The sequence below is a fragment of the Homo sapiens genome, chromosome 6 (genome assembly GCF_000001405.40).
Source record: "Homo sapiens chromosome 6, GRCh38.p14 Primary Assembly".
In the NCBI taxonomy this organism is placed as follows: Eukaryota; Metazoa; Chordata; class Mammalia; order Primates; family Hominidae; genus Homo; species Homo sapiens.
Window position 1 is genome coordinate 56968094 of NC_000006.12, and position 19533 is coordinate 56987626.

Consider the following 19533-nt stretch of genomic DNA (forward strand, 5'->3'; position numbering starts at 1 on the left):
ACTAAATTAATTTCTTTTCTAGATAATGGTTACACATATGAAAACACATGATATCACTGCTTATTCATTCAATTAGCTTCAGTGAAAGTACATCCACAAACTCCAGAAAGATAAGAATGTTTTTCTTTCCTTTCCCTTCATGGAAAATATAAAATGATTCAGGTCTATAGCCCCCTCAAGCATAATGCTTCTTTTCTTTTTCTTTCTTTCTTTCTTTTCTTTTTTTTTTTTTTTTTTTTTTTTTTGAGACAGGGTCTCACTCTGTCACCCAGGCTGGAGTGCAGCAACAGGAACACAGCTCACTGCAGCCTCAAACTCCTGGGCTCTCGTGATCCTCCCACCTCAGCCTCCCCAGTAGCTGGGACTGTAGGTGTGCCCCACCATGCCTGGCTAATTTTTTTTTTATTTTTTGTAGAAATGGATTCTCACCATGTTGCTCAGGCTGGTCTTAAATTCCTGGGCTCAAGCAATCCTCCCACCTCAGCCTCCCAAAGCCACAGTGGTGTGAGCCACTGCACTTGGCCCAAACATAACGTTTCTTAGGCTCCTACATAATCTCTAATCCAGTCCAAGTTATGCCATAACAGTTTGGCAGCATTGTCGAACCATCCCGAAGCACACTGACCATTTTTTTAATCATGATATTGCCAGAACAACTTGGAAACTGAAAATATTTATGTCATTTGAAAATGAAGGAAGTGGCCAGGTGCGGTGGCTCACACCTGTAATCCCAGCACTTTAGGAGGCTGAAGTGGGCGGATCACGAGGTCAGGAGCTCAAGACCATCCTGGCTAACACGGTGAAACCCCGTCTCTAATAAAAATAAAAAAAATTAGCCAGCCGTGGTGGCAGGCGCCAGTAATCCTAGCTACTCGGGAGGCTGAGGCAGGAGAATCACTTGAACCCAGGAGGCGGAGGTTGTGTGAGCAGAGATGGCGCCACTGCACTCCAGCCTGGGAGACAGAGTCAGACTCTGTCTCAAAAAAAAAAAGAAAAGAAAATGAAGGAAGTAAAAACAGACAGTAAGTTGAAATGCTGCCTAATGGACCTTAGTAAAACCCAGTAGTTTTCCCTCTAGAAGTCAGAACACTTTGGTGAGAAAGCCATGCATTTGTTTTGCTCAGCAGAGTGCTGTCTGAGGGTTGGAGTGCTCAGAATGCACCCAATCATTTACAGCCATTTCAATCTTGATTTGTCTTCCTCGAGAACATATATAACTAAAAATAAATAATATAGGCATCTCCTTCCTCCGTGCCCTATCTTGCTATGCAGCTGGACTAAAACTAGTAGTCCGTTTTATAGAAATCATTAAGCCAGCCACTGGCTATTTAGAATTATATTGGCACTAGTTTCCCGCCACTTTTGAATTTATTTAGAGGGGAGTCTTCAGTTCATATTCTGACCTGAGTACTATAAGGGGTCTTTTATGTCTATACATTTCAAAACTGATATATGTATAAAGCAATCCAAAACTTTTGAAACCTATGAAAGAGTACTTAGGTTTTGTTGTAGTGCTGTACTTGCCTTTCAAAATTTTAATAGAATTCATAATAGAGAACTTATATTTAAATACAAAGGCAGATGAGACACCTGTATTACATTTTGATATTAATCTAGTTTCCTTAGGTTTGGTGACTTTGTTTTTTTTTTTTAGAATTTCAGAGGTGGCTTTTGAATTCCTGCATTAGGTGTGTCATTGATTTGTTAAAATTAAACATAAATGCATTGAGAATTTATGTTTTGATTTGCTTCCATTAATTACAAAACTCCCCTTTTTCTACGTCTTAATTCCGAGACACTGTGTTTTTCATAATTTGGATGTTGCTTAGGACATTATTTTTCAAACTATGGATTATAATCCATTAATGGGTTGTGAAATCAGTTTAATGTGCTATGACCAGCACTTTTTTTAAATGAAATAAAATAGAGCAGACAGAATAGAAACTGAGACAGTGCATTGCATGTAGTAAGGGTAAATATGTTTCTTAAAATTTTGTTTTAGTTGCATGTGTGTGTGTATTTTCTAGATCAAAATGTATTTTTTACTGTAACAGTCAAAAAAAATTTAAAGCTCTTGGCTTATATTATTCCTCCAACCACATTTTTTTTTTCTTTTTTTGAGACAGAGTCTCACTCTGTCACCCAGGCTGGAGTGCAGTGGCATGATCTCGGCTCTCTACAACCTCCGCCTCCCAGGTTCAAGCCATTCTTATGCCTCAGCCTCCCCAGTAGCTGGGATTACAGGCACGTGCCACCATGCCTGTCTAATTTTTGTTTCACCATGTTGGCCAGGCTTGTCACAAACTCCTGAACTCAGGTGATCTGCCAACCTTGGCCTCCCAAAGTGCTAGGATTACAGGCGTGAACCACCACACACTGCCCCAACCACATATTGTAAGTGTTATCATGGCTGTGTTCATGTTTCATCTCATCTCCTGCAACTATTAGAGAATTAATAAGATGCGTTCTTTTAGTAAGTAAATAAATAAATAAATTGGGGGCAGATAGCCACATAGTGAATTTTTTTACTACCTATCAGAAACTGGTAGTATTTAATATATAGCCATATTCATAATGTTCCTTCTGAATTTGCTAATTGGCAGCTAATATAAACATTGAATCACCTGTTTATGGAATTTATAACATAATATTGACCTGAAATCTACTGGAAAGTAGATATTCTAAATAAGGTCTGATATGTCTATATCTGGTTGGTCTTGAGTGAATTGTGTGTTTGTGAAGAAACTTGAGGATTTGCTCTTTAACCAAATCATATCTGCAGGGGAAAGTTTAATATTAATACAACTAGGGATAATACAAAAACTGTGTTTTTGTAAACTAATTTGTTTTTCTCCAAGTTTTTTGTTGTGGTAAAACACACATAACATAAAATTTACCATTTTAATCATTTTTAACTGTTTGGTTCAGTAACATTAAATACCTTAGTATTATTGTGCAACCATCACTACCATCCATCTCCAGGATACTTTTCATCTTACAAAACTGAACCTCTGTGCTCATTAAACAATAGTTCCTATTCCCTCACTTCCCCTAGCCCCTGGCAATCACCATTCTACTTTCCGTCTCTATGAATTTGACTATTCTGGTACCTCATGTAAATGGAATCATATAATATTGGTATTTTTGGAACTGGCATATTTCACTTAGCATAATGTTCTCAAGGTAAATCCATGTTATAGAACATCAGAATTTCCTTCCTTTTAAAGGTTGAATACTATTACATTATATGTATCTGCCCATTTTGCTTATTTATTCATCTTTCGATGGACATGGGTTGCTTCCTCCTTTTAGCTATTGTGAATAATGCTGCTATGAACATGGTATGCAAGTATCTCTTCAAGACTATGCTTTAATTCTTTTTAGTATATACCCAGGAGTAGAATTGCTGGATCATATGGTAATTTTATTTTTAATTTTTCTAGAAGGTTCCGTGCTGTTTTCCATCAGTGGCTGCACCATCTTACATTACCACCAACAGTGCACAGGGTTCCAGTTCCTCTATATCCTTACCAATACTTATGATTTTGTTTTTTTGTTTGTAGTCATCCTAATGGCTATGAAGTAGTTTCTCCTTGTAGTTTTGATTTGCATTTCCTAATGATTAGTGATGCTGAGCACCTTTTCATGTGATATTGGCCGGCCATTTGTATATCTTCTATGGAAAAAGTCTATTCAAGTCCTTTACTCATTTTTGAATCATTTTTTTGTTAAGTTTTAAGAATTCTGTGCGTTCTGGATATTAATCTCATTAAATTCATGATTTGAAAATATTTTCTCACATTCTATGGGTTGCCTTTTTAACTCTGTTAATAGTGACTTTTGATGCACAAAACTTTAATTTGCATGAAGTCCAATATTCCTGTTTTTTGTTTTATTGCCTATGCCCTTTGGTATCATACCCAAGAAATCTTTGAAAAATCCAGTTGCATAAAGCTTTTGCCATATGTTTTCTTTTTACTTTACTTTACTTTCTTTTTTTTTTTTTTTTTTTTTTTTTTGAGACAGAGTCTTACTCTATCACCCAGGCTGGAATGCAGTGACATGATCTCAGCTCACCGCAACCTCCCCTTCCTGGGTTCAAGCAATTCTCCTGCCTCAGCTTGCTGAATAGCTGCGACTAAAGTCATGCGCCACCAGGCCTGACTAATTTTTGTATTTTTAGTAGAAATGGAGTTTCCCCACTTTGGCCAGGCTGGTCTCGAACCTCTGAGCTCAAGTGGTCTACCCATCTCGGCCTCCCAAAGTGCTGGGATTACAGATGTGAGCCACCGGGCCCAGCCACCGCATGTTTCCTTATAAGAATTTTATAACTAATTTGTTTTTAATGATTTTGCAAGCCTAAATTAATTTTAGCAGGAATTAATAAAGTTTAAAGTAACAAAGTGTAACTCTTGAAAACTAATTATGTACTTTAAAAGGAAAAAGGATTGAAAGGAAGACTTTTACAGTTTTATTTCATACACTGTCTATGTGTGATCTTTCACTTTTATAATGAGCATTACTGCCTTTCAGATAAAAAGAAGATGTATTTCTCAATTATGTCACTTTCTACAGCACTCTAAGCACTTAAGTTCTCAGTAGAAAACTGACACCCCATTTTCCAATAGAAATGTATTAGTAAGCTCAGGCCGCCATAACAAATACCATAGACTGGGTGGCTTAAACAACAAAAATTTGTTTCTCACAATTCTGTAAGTTAGAAAGTACAAGAACAGGCCCAGCAAGGTTCAGTTTCTGGTGAAGGCTCTATTTCTGGCTTACAGGTGGCAGCCTTCTTGCTGTGTCCTCACATGACAAAGAAAGAGAGAGATGTGATAGGATTAGTGGCCCTATAAGATAGACATTTCTCTCTCTCTCTTCTGTGGAGCATTGATCTACGTACAAAGAAATGAAAAATAAAGAACAATCAGAAGTTCTCTACTTTATTGCCCTGGATTTACTGAAAGTGTGGTGATGACGCATTTGACAAAACATAAAACCATAAAGGAGACAGTGGGATATATGTTGAGAGAACCCTTCCTGGAGTAGACAATCTTTTCTTTTGACTGTGGAGAAAAGAGCTCTCCACACATTCTGAATTATCAGCAACCCCAGTGAAGTAAGATTCTGACATCTGTTACCATCACTAAATAGTACTTAATAGGTCCGTGTCAGTTAAACCTGGTGAAACTTAGTTTTATCAAATAATAAATCTGCTGTAGGACCTTAGAGGGTGCATACTGTGTCTCTCAAGTACAAGTAGTGCTCCCTTATCCACGGAAGATGCATTCTAAGACCCCAGTGGATGCCTGAAACAGTGGGTTGTACCGAACTCTATATATACTACATTTTTTCTATACATACCTATGATAATGTTTAATTTATTAATTAGGCACAGTAAAACATTAATAACAATAACTAATAGTAATATAAAACAATTATAATGATATACTGTAATAAAAGTAAGGTGAATGTGGTCTTCCTCTCTCTCAAAATATCTTACTGTACTAAGTATGGTAATGATGTGAGATGATAACTGAGAAGGCTACTCTAGTGTATACAGTGTGGATACGCTGGACAAAGGGACAGCTCACATGCTGGGTAAGTGGTATGGCACAAGCTCTCATCATGCTACTTGGGATGGCATTCTTTTTAAACTTACAATTTTTTTCTTTTTTTGAGACAGGGTCTCATTCTGCCACCCAGGCTGGAGTGCAGTGGCACAATTAGGGCTCTCCACAGCCTCAGCTTCCCAGCTCAGGTGATCCTCCCACCTCAGCCTCCTGAGTAGCTGGGACTACAGGTGCACCACCATGCCCAGCTAGCTTTTTGTATTTTCTGTAGAGATGTGCTTTTGCCATGTTGTCCAGACTGATCTTGCACTTCTGGCCTCAAGTGATCTGCCCACCTCAGCCTCCCAAAGTGCTGGGATTACAGGCATAAGCCATTGCACCCGGCCTAAACTTACAGATTATTTATTTCTGGAATTTCCCATTTAATGTTTTCAGACTGTAGTTCACTGCAGGTAACTGAAACTGAGGAAAGCAAAAGTGTTGGTAAGGGGAGAGTAGAGTACTGTTTTTAATTTGTCGGTAATATGTGCGGTAATGTAAGTCAATGGAGAAAAAGGAATTAAAGCAGATGGCCTGCCCCCCAGAAAAAGAAATGAAGGTGAAATAAAAGAAAGCAGGTGATACCATCTAAACTCCATTTAAATATGATAAATATATGGATCTTTAGGTCAGATTTTCACAAATTATGGTTCATCTGCCTGCCATCTATTATTGTACAGCCTTAAGGTAAGAATGTTTTTTACAGATTTAAGAAGTTTTTAAAAGTCAACATAACATTTTATTATATATAAAACTATATAAACTTGAAGTATCAGTGTTCATAAACAAAGTCTAATTGGAACATCACCACACTTAATGTGTTTATGTATTGCCTATGCTTGTTTTCATACTATGAGAGCAGAGTTAAGTGGTAGTGACAGAGACCATATGGGACAACTTCATTGCTTTAAAGTACTGCTAAGTGGACCACAAATGACAGTGATGCAGCTTTAATAATTGACAGCATTTTGAGTGGCATGCATATTGTCATGCCATGGCATTTTATTTTATTTTATTTTTAATTAGAAAAATTATTTATTTCTGCTCCTTTCATATATCTTATTGTTCAGGAAACAGTTTACATACATATCTCAAGTAATCTACCATCACATACTCTATTTAAAGGCAAAGCAGCCTGGGAACAGTGGCTCACATCTATAATCCCAGCAGTTTGGGAGGCCAAGGCAGGTGGATCACCTGAGGTCAGGAGTTCAAGACCAGCCTGGCCAACCTGGTGAAACCCCATCCCTACAAAAATACAAAATTAGTCGGGCATGATGGCGGGTGCCTGTAATCCAAGCTACTTGGGAGGCTGAGGTGGAGAATCACTTGAACCTGGGAGGTGGAGGCTGCAGGAGCTGAGACCGAGCCATTGCATTCCAGCCTGGGCAACAAAAGCGAAACTGTCTCAAAAAATAATAATAAAACAAAATAAAAAAAATAAAGGCAAAGCACCTTAGGTAAAGCTGATCAGCTGTCCAGAGTTCTCAGCCTATGGAATCTTGCTTCCTGATTTTATGTTAATTTCTGAAAATCAGAAGTGTCATCTCCAAAAAATGTTAAGGGGGTTGTAAAAAATAATCATTCAATATTATAGTTGTAGATATGGAGTATATTTTCTTTAAAAAAATGAAAAACTAAGAAGAAAATGCCTCTCAACATCGTTAGTATATCAATAGGTCAGCAGGGAAAAAAAATACTGTGATAAACTTGTCTCTTTGATATTAAGAAGAAATTCTAGTCCACACTCCAATATACTTCCTGTTTTTTCACTAGGTATTTCTTTTACAGCTGCTCTTCATTCTTTTCCACATTTCATATTAGAGGATTGGTACAGCCTTTAAAACTTCATTGACAGGAGCAAATCCAGTATCCACTTATTTCTTCTCGAAAGCACTCTAGCCCATCAGATAGCCCAGCAGTTTCATTCTCATGAAAACTCTAGCCGTGAAAAAACTCAGTAGGACACACATGAATTTAATGAATAGAAGAAGAAATCTATTGAGTTTTGGGATATTTTGTGCATTCAATTGGTCCAGGATTATGAAACGTAAACCTCCCATTTTAAACAGGAAGCTGGATGCAAGTCCTTCCATAATATATTGTCCATTTACTCTGTAGGCCAAGAAAGCTACTGACCTCTAATGCCTATGTTCATCAGTCATAGAGCCAACACTTGCAGGTTCAACAATAACATCATAAATTATTCCTCCAGTGGTGAGGAAGTAAGACACCAGCACCAGAGCATACACAGTCATGGTCGACGCCATGTGCAGTCATGGTGGCTTCTTCAGCTTCAGGTTGGGACATTCAGGGACATTCAAGCACTAAGAACAGGACACGATACAAAGTCTCCATGTTGGTGACAGCAAGGGCCATTCTCAGCCTCAAGCCCCACATACCACCTGGAAACAATTATTTAATTTATTTTTTATTATCAGTGCATGCCAATCATGCCAAACAAGAAAAGAAGATAAAATTAGTGTTAGTGCTTTTTTTTTTTTTTTTGAGATACAGTCTCGCTCTGTCACCCAGGCTGGAGTGCAGTGGCGCGATCTCGACTCACTGCAAGCTCTGCCTCCCGGGTTCACGCCATTCTCCTTCCTCAGCCTCCCGAGTAGCTGGGACTACAGGCGCCCGCCACCATGCCCGGCTAATTTTTTGTATTTTTAGTGGAGACAATGTTTCACCGTGTTAGCCAGGATGGTCTCGATCTCCTGACCTCAAGATCTGCCCATCTCAGCCTCCCAAAGTGCTGGGATTACAGGCGTGAGTCACCATGCCCAGCCGCGTTAGTGCTTCTAAGGCAGAGTGGAGTGTAGATTATTTTATTACAAAATTAGGTGGCAAAGGACTGTGGGGTTTGTTTGTTTGTTTGAGCCAGAGTCTTGCTCTGTCACTCAGGCTGGAGTGCAGTGGCTCAATCTTGGCTCATTGCAACCTCTGCCTCCTGGGTTCAAGCGATTCCCCTGCCTCAGCCTCCTGAGTAGCTGGGATTACAGGTGCACGTCACCACACCTGGCTAATTTTTGTATTTTTAATACAGATGGGGTTTCACCATGTTGGCCAAGCTGGCCTTGAATTACTGGCCTTAAGTGATCCGCCTGCCTCAGCTTCCCAAAGTGCTGGGATTACAGGCATGAGCACTGCAACTGGTAGATTGTGTTTATTATACAATGACATTACAGTTGTGCTGAAAGAATATCATATATATCAACATTAGCCAACTAAGCACTCATCACAATATTTCCAACTCACAGGAAAATAGCAGTCAGAAAAATTAGGAAATTTAAAATGGACTATCTCATTTTTCATCACAGCAGAATTTCTTCACACAAATTAAAAAATGAAAATTAGTGCAACCAAAATAAATTTCATATGGCTCATTTGTTAGCCAAGAAGGAAAACCATTTACAGATAGTGAAATTATAATAATTGAATTATACTTGACTGCAGTAGTTTACAACTATTAGCCTTTCAGCAAAGATAGTTGCTCAAAGGGTTGGGGACATTGAGAGTGGCACAATAATCAATTAAATAACAAGCAAGTGACTGTCAGTTTTTATTGTTTCTTAATGAGTCAACAGGTTACTGCTCAGTTGTTTTTTATTTGAGAAACAAATGCTGAGTTTAGAGTGACTAACAAATTAGTTTCTATAAATAGCCTTTGTGAAAAAAAACTGTGGGCAAAAATAGTTTCAAAGAAACTGAGAAAATACTAATTGAGTACAACCTGAAGTGGAATCTACTAAGATGTGTTACAAATATATATAGAGCAGAAAAATAATTAGACAAATTTACGGGACTTATGAAAATGTAAAGTGTTTAAAGCCTATGGTTATTCATTTTATTAGTCATCAGCAGGTGCTTTGCAGAAAATAGTTGAACCATTATGTGTATTTTTAAAAAATAGCTTTATTGAAACAGCATTCACAAACCAAGCAATTGACCCATTTAAAGTATATGATTCAGCCAGACACAATGGATCATGCCTGTAATCCCAGCATTTGGAAGGCCAAGGCAGGAAGGTCACTTGAAGCCGGGAGTTTGAAATCAACCTAGACAATACAGTGAGACCCCATCTCTACGAAAAATAAAAAAATTAGCTGGGCATAGTGGCACACGCCTGTAGTCCCAGCTATTAGGGAAGCCAAGACGGGAGGATCACTTGAGTCCAGGAGGTCAAGGCTGAAGTGAGCCAAGATTGCACCACTACACTCCAGCCTGAGTGACAGAGCAAGACCCTATCTCAAAAGAAAGAAAAGGGTGTACAATTCAACCAAGTATGGTGGCTCATACCTGTAATCCTAATGCTTTGGGAGGCCAAAGCAGAAGGATCACTTGAGGCCAGGAGTTCAAGACCAGCCTGGGCAACATACTGAGACCCTGTCTCTACAAAAACAAAAAACAAAAAAAAAAAACTAAAAATTAGACAGGTGTCATGGTGCATGCCTGTAGCCCCAGCTACTCTGGAGACTGAGGCAAGAGGATCCCTTGAGCCCAGGACTTCAAGGCTGCAGTGACTTAGGATCATGCCACTGCACTCCAGCCTGGGTGAGAGAGCAAGACCCTGTCTAAAATAAAATAAAATAAAATAAAATATACAATTAAATGTGGAGGGTTTTTTTTGTATACTCACAGTATTTTGCAACCATCACCACAATTCAATTTTTAAAACATTTTTCCCCTCTAAAAGAAACCCTATGCCAATTTCCTCTCCCCAACCTACTCCTCACCCATAAGAAATCACTTATCTACTTTCTGCCTCTATAAATTTGACTACCCTTCTTCTTCAAGATTGTTTTGGCCATTCTAAGTCTCTTACATTTCCATACAAATTTTAAGATCACCTTGGCAATTTCTGAAAATATCATTTATTATTGAACCAATAATGTCAACAGTGAACATTCATTCTTGTGGACTTGACTATCATCAGTTCCAGGAATCTTTTCATGGAACTTCAAATAGAAGTTGAATATTCTGACTTGCCCTACTACCCAACATTTTGATAGCTTAGCAGTGGCAAAGTTTTACTGCAAATATTTGCACTGGAGCGAAGATTGAAATTTTTGTGAATGAGACTGTTGTTCCATATGCCTATGGAGCACTGAATGGCTTTTGAAATAAGCTTTTGCTGTAGACTTAATAATGTTTCTTAACTGAATTGATTAAGAAATCATAAGACAAAATTATATACAAGACAAGCACTTACAGCAAAACTTACACTGAAGTAAAGTCATTTTAACAACAACTAATTGATGATGCATAAGTAATGTCAAACTGCTTTATTTACTTCCCCTATTGTCAAAAGTTAAAACAAAATGTGAGACTTCATCCCCACTCAGATTTGCAATGGATATATTTTTAAGTTCAAATTACAGTTCCAGCACTGCCTTTCAGATCTCAATGCAAATACAAGACAAATTTCCATATTTCAAAATCCATTTTATTGTGCAATTTGAGGCGCTTCCACCTAACCTTTAATTGGGAGTAATTAGTCTTCAAAGTATGACATGCTAAAAGGCAAATATCAAGAGAAGAATCTAATAAAATTATATGAAAGTCTTCTAAGAAATTAATATGCTCAACTAAAATTATAAGCTCATTTTGGGATGTATGGAGTTTCTTGGTGATGGTTATGCAATAAACATCCTAAAAATCATTGAATTGTACACTTTAAATGGATGTACACACTTTTAAATGGTTAAAACGGTGAATTTATATGTTGTGTAAACTTTATCTCAATTAAGAAAATTGTAACTTCATGGATTAACATCAATATATGCCAGTACCTATCAATGTAAAAGACATTTTCAAAGAGGAAATACGTAAAATCTCATTACAGGTCAGATGAACATTTGCAATTGATTTTGATGATAGGAAACACTAACTCTGAACCCCAATTAAGCAAGATGGTTTTTGTTAATTCCATTCTTTTCATTAGTAAATTTGGCTTACAAAAAGTTGTACTATTATTAGATTTTGAAGTTTTGAAAATTTGAAAATTTGTCTTCTCTCTTGCTATGTAAATACCTATATAATATCCTACATTTGGCCTATTGGCTTGCAGTATCTAAAATATTTACTATCCATCCCTTTGCAGAAAAAGTTTGTCAACCCTGTTCTCACAAATAGACTTTTGTATTTACTAGGAGGACAGTTTGTATCTATGGAATGCTGTTAACAGTATATCCTTGGTTAGGGATTGCTTATTGCAAGCATACCTAGAATCTGGATTTATAACTTCCTAGAGAATGTCATGCGAGCTACACAGCTCTGAAATATAAAATGGAGATGCATCACAACTTAAACATTCTCCACTGTGTGAGGTAACCCTCTAAATTAATTTAGAGGCCTCACCTATTATTGTGGACCACAGAGTGCATGATGTGAGAAGGAAGGAGCTAGGAAGCCAGCAGGGATTCCCTGGATCTCTTCCTACTTTGCCTATGCCTCTTGATTGCTTTTTCTTTTGCTTTTGTGGATTTTTTTCTTTTTTGGAGACAGAGGCTCCCTCTTGTTGCCTGGGCTGGAGTGCAGTGGCATGATCTCAGTTCACTACAACTTCCACCTCCCAGGTTCAAGCAATTCTCATGCCTCAGCCTCCAGAGTAGTTGGAACTACAAGCGTGAGCCACCATGCCTGGCTAATTTTTGGTATTTTAGTAGAGATGGGGTTTCACCATGTTGCCTAGGCTGGTCTTGAATTTCTCAGCTCAGGCAATCTGCCCGCCTGGGACTCCCAAAGTGCTAGGGTTACAGGTGTGAGCCACTGCATGTGGCTTGATTGTGCTTCTATCTTTGAAATTATTAGTAAAGATTGATATTAGGCAAGCTGTCTGGTATTTGTGAGTCAGATTTGACAGTATAGTCCTGTGTTAGCTCAAGCACTATTCATGTATTTGAAAGGCTAAAGTAAGTTTTCAAAGAAGAGTCGCAACAAGCATTTTTGACAGGACCATCCAAATATTATTTTATGCTTAGAGTAGATCATAATGGCTTTCACTTAAAATAGGCAAAGAATTATATTTTCTAAAATAGTGACAATGTAATTTGGTAAGGAGCATATGTTACTTTCTGTTCAACAGTCCACATATTTCTTGAAGACATCTAAGTCCTTTCTATAAAGTTTTATTATTTATAATTAAATATTTTTTCATGAAAACAAACCAATATATGCAAGTAGTAAGGATGCTAAGACTTAACATGCTACATCATTTGTAAATAGCAAAAGTTAAATTTCATCATTTAACATCACTCACCACACCCAGCAACTTTTTTGTATTTTTTGTAGCAATGAGGTTTTACCATATTTCCCAGGCTGGTCTTGAACTCCTGGGATCAAGCAATCCTCCCACCTCGGCCTGCCAAAGTGCTGGGATTACAGGTGTGAGCCGTCATGCCCAGCCTGCTTTATCAGATTTTGATAAATGATTATTCCTTAAAATCTTTATGAAAATACTATTGCCCTTGAGATTTTTCCCCCATTTCTTATGGCACAATTCTTCAGTTTGCACCAAGGAAAATCTTGCATTTCAAGACTTAAGAACTTTTAGGGGAAAAAAAACCTTTTAAGAAATTCTTACTGATTTCCCTGGAATATTTTAGTCTTCGGTTCTTATGAAATCTATTATTAACGTCTTTTTCCTAAAGATATATAAGGTCAGTCCTCTGTGATACTGTTTTTATAAATTTGTAATGTTTCTAGTTTCGTAGACTCCTCATAATATAACTGTTTGACAAGAAAAAAACTTATGAAAAAGTGTTACAATATTTGATTTTGTAAATTACAACTCACTGCATATCACATCATGAAAATATGAAATTATTTATGATGCTGATGAAATTAGAAGACTTTTGCATCAAATGAAAATGTGTACTAAATTAATCAGTGGAAGAAAGAATAGGAAACATTAATAAAACTGGTTTATCTGAGTGGCTAGTACCATTATGAAACATACAGTTGTGAATATGTTATGTGTCATGTTTTTGTTTTTGTTTTTAAGGGAAAGCATTAACTTTTGAGCTACGTCCAGAATAGCATCATCTTCATGGGTATTCCCTACTCCTAGGATTTCAGAAAACCTTTGATAACTAATTGAGAAAATGCAGAAGATCGTGCAGACAGATGAAATTACCAATACACAAGCTTTTAGAAAAGGAAAGAGGAAAAGAACAGAGACAATGGACTCAGAAAATGCAAATAGTGACATGGATAAAGGACAGGTTGGTTTTTTGTTACCTTGACTCAACTTTGTTATCTAGCTCAATCATAATTTCATGGTTTCTTTCATAATTTATTAGTGCTTCTCCCTCTTCTATTATTTAATTCTTTTCATTTCTTTATTCAATGGAGAAAATATAATCTTATGTTCTTTTTCTTTTTAAAAATGTTTTGTAGAGACAGGGTCTCCCTGTGTTGCCCAGGCTGGTCTCAAATTCCTAGGCTTAAGTGATCCTCCCACGTCAGCCTCTCAAAGTGCTGGGATTACAGGTATAAGCCACTGCACCATCTTATGTTCTCTTTTTAATGTTGAACAGTTGAGTTAGAAACATACTCAACAATTGACCTGCTTCTATTGTTCAAACTTTCCTTAATAGTCTGAGAAATTAAAGATCAGCAAACTGTCAGAAAATATTTTTTCCTCTCCCCAAATACTGAAGAAATTGGAATGCCTCATCTGTAAGACATACTGTTTGTTTTTCTTTTTAGACCCCAGTTTGTGGCCCATCCTTATCACTGGTTTGGTCAGGGTGCCTTTCCTATTTTTATTTATTCATTTGTTCCTTTTAAATCTGAATTCCCCACTCCCATTCCCCTCCTATACTTTGGACAACCAATCAATATGTTTATTTCTGTATCTTTTTATTTGTGTGTTTTTGTAATACATATAATTGCATATGTCTCTGTAATGTAGTGTTTTATTTCATATATTCTTAATTATTTAAATAAATATTACATTCTTAAGGTTTAAAATATTTTTTAAAGGTAAACGGTGAAAAGTTTCCCTCACATCCCTGTCTCCCACCTACCCTGTTCCTGCCACCAGCCCCCCAATATAAGTAATTACATTTATTGCTTTCTTGTTTATTGTTCCAGTGTTTCTTCATTCAAATAAATCAAATATGAATATACATTCTTATCCCTGTCTTTGGCACAAAACTAACCATATATATTGCTTTATACTTTTCTTTTTTACTTAATATATTTTGAAGGTATTTCCATTATTATACAGAGAGCTTTGTATTTTTTACAGCTCCATGTTATTGCACTGTGTGTATTCACCATCCTTTATTTAACTGGTTTCCTATGATAAATATCAGTTGTTTCTAATCCTTTTCTTACTATTTAATACAAACCACACAACACTGTACCACCTTATGTGTACATCATTTGATAGTACAGTGGTATTAAAATATAGACCTTAATCTGTTTCTGATTTTCAATCAGCACTGTTTTTTTAAAATAAATTTTATTGTGTATATTTCAGGTATATAACATCACGTTATAGGAAACATATAGATAGTAAGAAGGTTACTATAGTGAAGCAAATTAACATATCCATCACTCACAGTTACCCATTTTTAAAATTTTTGTTGCAAGAGCAGATAAAATCTACACATGTTGCATGAATCCCAAACACAAAACAATTTTATTACCTATGGTCCTCGTGTGCTACGTTAGATCTCTAAACCTCTTTGTTCTGTGTATCTGCTACTTCATATCCTCTGACTTACATCTCCTCATTTTCTCTCCTCTAAGCCCCATCTGCCCTAGTAACCACTGTTTTGTTCTGTATCTCTGAATATTTGAAAGTTTTTTTTAGATTCCAGATGTAAGTGAGATCATGCAATAATTTTCTTTCTGCGTCTGGTTTACTTCACCTAACATAACATCCTCCAGCCTCATCTACATTGTGGCAAATAGCAAGATCTTGTTCTTTTTTAGGGCTCAATGATATTCCATTTATAAATATATTAATTCTACTGTTTTTTAATCCATCCATTCATTTATGGACACTTTGCTTGTTTCCACACAATTAGCACTGTTTTTAATACCTATCTATATTGCTATATATACATCTGATCCATTGCTTCTAGCTGCTGCATAGCACCGTGTTTTATTTATCCTTTCCTCAGTGATGAATACCTAGATTGCCTCCAGCATCTTGCTACCACAAACAATGACAAAGTAAATATCCTTATACATGTCCTTTTAAGAAACTTTGTGAGGCCAGATGCAGTGGCTTACACCTATAATCCCAGCACTTTGGAAGGCTGAGGCAGGAGGATCACTTGAGCCCAGGAGTTTGTGACCAGCCTGGGCAACACAGGGAGACCCTCTCTCTACCAAAAAAAATTTAAAATTAATCGGGTGCAACTGCTTACACCTGTAGTCCTAGCTACTTGGGAGGTTGAGGTGGGAGGATCGCTTCAGTCTAGGAGTTTCAGGCTGCAGTGAGCTGTGTTCCCATCACTGCACTTCAGACTGGGTGACAGAGCCAGACCTTGTCTCAACAACAAAAAAAAAAGCAAAGAAAAAAGAAAAAAAAACTGTGTGACAATTTATCTGGGAAAAATACATAGGAGGGTGATTTATACCTTGTAAGTTATATGTTTATTTCTAGTTCATTTGACTAGATATTATAAAATTACTTTTCGAGAGTGTTCACATCAGTGTACGTGCCCAGCATCAGTGTTTAAGAGGTTCCCATATTTGTACTTCCCTACAACCGTTAGCATTAATATCCAAATTTCTAGTTTTTGCAAATTGATGGGAGAAAATGATATCTCATTGTTTTAATCTGCTGATGCAGGTTTAGGGAAACTCAAGGATTGCTTAAGAGGTAAAAACAGTCACATGCTCTTGTAGGCCGGTATTGTGGCTTCTTTAGCAAGAACTTAATAGCTTTCTAAACCACAATTTCTTTTTTGTTCCATTGAAATTCACTATAGCCAGAGATTTTATTTGATCATGGATTGTAAGCATGAAAACTGTTCTCTTCAATTACGGCATCTGTGTTCAGCCTCTTTTCTCTCCAATTTATGACAGTTATCTAAACAATATACAAAACAAAAAGCTTGAAGGAAACACCCTGCATCTGAAGCTTACCACTGGGCTGGATCCCATTATCTGTCAAGAACACTTAAAGAAAAGCTCTCGAGAAAGCCTTGAGGATACAGTCTTACCTTCTGCTATTTAGATATAAAAGTAATTGGCTTTTTCAAAACTTGAAGATTGAATATTACTGGACTCTCAGTTAATTTAAATTGCATGCTGCACTCAGAGAGCCTTCCATGTCTGCTTGCACACTGACCAGCACTGACAAGGAGTAGCTGATACATACCAGCATTGTTTTTCCAAGCTCAATAAGTTTGTGGTCTGCCTTCAAAGGTATTCCAGGTGACTGTTGTACCAAATATGCCCCAAGGTCTAACAAGAATCAATGGCTATCCAGCATGCCATGCCTGTGCGCTACCACCTGACCTCTCAGTAATTCAATTATATTTCAGGTTTTAGGTATTCGTACTTCTGGGTACTCAATTTTGGACTAGTTATGATATAAGTTGCAAAGGCTGTAAAATAGACTCAAGTAACACAATAATGGCTTATACAGGATGAAGTTTATTTCCCTCTTACCTAATAGTAAGAGCAGTTTAGGGGTGCTATGGCAGCTCCACATGTTGAGTGTCCCTCTTACCTTGTTGATCTACCTTCCTCAACACACAGCCTCTATCTCTAGGTCTAAGATGACTGCCCTCCCCTCACTCTCCCATCATGCCTTCCCATCTGCTAATAGAAGAAGGAGAATACAGGCAGAAGAAGGCATGCTTGTTCTTTTAAGGTTATCAACAAGTCAGTGGTCCAAAATACTCCTGCTCATATCCTATTGGAGGGAACTTAGTCATATAGTCACACTGAGCCACGTGGGAGTCAGGGAAATGAAGCCTTTAGCTGACAACTATGAGCCCAGCTAAAACCTTTATTGTACTATACAAGAATGGTAGAATAGACACCTGGAGATAGCTAGCAGTCTCTGCACTGTCCATTTTTCTATTAGGTTTTTGTTTTCTGTTCGTTTTCTTGGTTATTCTGATGGATTTCCTGTTCTGTCAATTCTTATTGATTTGCACTAATACCTTATCTATTGTAGAAATTAGTCTCTTATGGTTTGAGATATTACAAATATATTCTCCCAATCTAATATGTGTCTGTTAACTTCATTTCCTTCCACTGATGCTTACAAATGGATTTCTTTTGCCTGATGTCCTTTCCCTCTTGTAGCAACTTGCTAAAACTTGCTAACAAGAACTAGACCATAGATACTAATTACTACTAACAGAATTATGGTATCAATAGGCTATCTTCAGTTTTTAAAAATTTCTTATTTCTATTTAATCAATACATAATTTTTTCTTTAAGATTTATACATTTAACGTGGGTATAGCTATCTGCCTACTTCTGATATTAGTAATTTTCATCACTAGAAGATGTATTACATATGTATATATATACAAACACATATATAACAATGAAATATACAAACATATACATATATCTGTACATTTATAAAATAAAGGTGAGGGCCAGGTATGGTGACTCGCACCTATAAACCCAGCTACTCGGGAGGCTAAGGCGGGAGGACTGCTTGAGCCCAGGAGTTCGAGGCTGCAGTGAGCTAAAATTGTGTCACTGCACTCCAGCCCGGGCAAAAGAGCAAGACCTGTTTCCAGAAAATAATAATAATAATAAATAAATAAACAAAATAAAATAAAGGTTGAATGTAAATGCTGCAAATCATATAAAAATGTAGTTGTGTTTTCTATAACTGATCTCATCTGGCTTTCAAGTCTCTATGCTTGATTGATAAGACAATAAAAAGCTTAAACTTGTTTATTCATTTTCTAGTGTAAAACAGTCTTTTTGAGTTATTATTATTTAAGTCACTTCAGGATTTAAGCCTCAATGAATTCTAAATTCTTCCCCTCCTCCACCTTCTTTTCTTGGGAAGTGAACCAAGTTTTTCGAAGTCTTGCACTCAGCCTCTGGGGAAAGATATCTGATCTTTTACTGAGGTTTTAACTTCCCTGCCTTGTTTCAGGGTGTCCCTTGGTGTTACTGTTGAGCCAATCCTTACAGGTCCATTGGGGATTCTATTGGTAGCTGCTGCTGAAATTTGCCATCCTGGCACACACTGCCATCTTCTATAATGTTCTGGCACCTTGTGGCCTCTCTGTCTAGATATTAAGCTGTTTGTGTTTCTTTTCTTTTTTTTTTTTTTTTTTTTGAGACAGACTCTTGCTGTATCACCCAGGCTGGAGTGCAGTGGCACAATCTCTGCTCACTTCAACCTCCACCTCCTGGGTTTTCAAACAATTCTCGTGCCTCAGCCTCCCAAGTAGCTGGGATTACAGGCATGAGCCACCACGCCTGGCTAATTTTTTTGTATTTTTAGTAGAGACGAGGTTTCACCATATTGGCCAGGCTGGTCTTGAACTCCTGACCTCAACTGATCTGCCCACCTCCGCCTCCCAAAGTACTGGGATTACAGTCGTGAGCCACTGTGCCCAGCCAGCTGTTTATATTTCATTAGTTCCTCCAGAACTTACCTATTCCCTAACTAGGATACAAGCACATTTGGATTCTCCAGCTGTTTTGCATGAGCTCTGGGAAATCTGGATGTTGTCTCTGACCCATTTATCTGGACACCAATTTGGCCATTTCCAATCTGTGGCCCGGAGAGACACCATGTTGCCCTGATGCTGAACATGAGGACTCTTTAGGGAAGAATGCACTAAGCAAGGAGCCAGCCTGCTGTTCTGGGATTGCCCCCATTTATCTGTATGTCTCTATCATATACCCCCACCTGGAGATTCATCCCCTTTCCCCCTAAAGGGCAGGGGCAAGAAGAGCAAAGACA

At 37.4% G+C, this 19533-nt stretch overlaps 1 protein-coding gene and 1 pseudogene across 9 annotated transcripts in view; one reads left to right on the forward strand and one right to left on the reverse strand.

Moving 5' to 3' along the window:
• Window positions 1-19533, forward strand: part of BEND6 (BEN domain containing 6) — a 72240-nt gene that overhangs the window by 12987 nt on the left and 39720 nt on the right. For 8 of the 9 annotated variants that reach the window (NM_152731.3, NM_001318539.2, XM_017010406.2 and 5 more), the window contains exon 2: window positions 13618-13837. In NM_152731.3, coding sequence (NP_689944.2) covers window positions 13718-13837 — 120 coding nt within the window. In that variant the 5' untranslated portion in view covers window positions 13618-13717. Of the gene's footprint in view, window positions 1-12978; window positions 12999-13617; window positions 13838-19533 lie in introns of those variants that run through there. The other variant, XM_017010407.3, reaches the window with a different exon arrangement.
• Window positions 7314-8026, reverse strand: OSTCP6 (oligosaccharyltransferase complex subunit pseudogene 6; annotated as a pseudogene).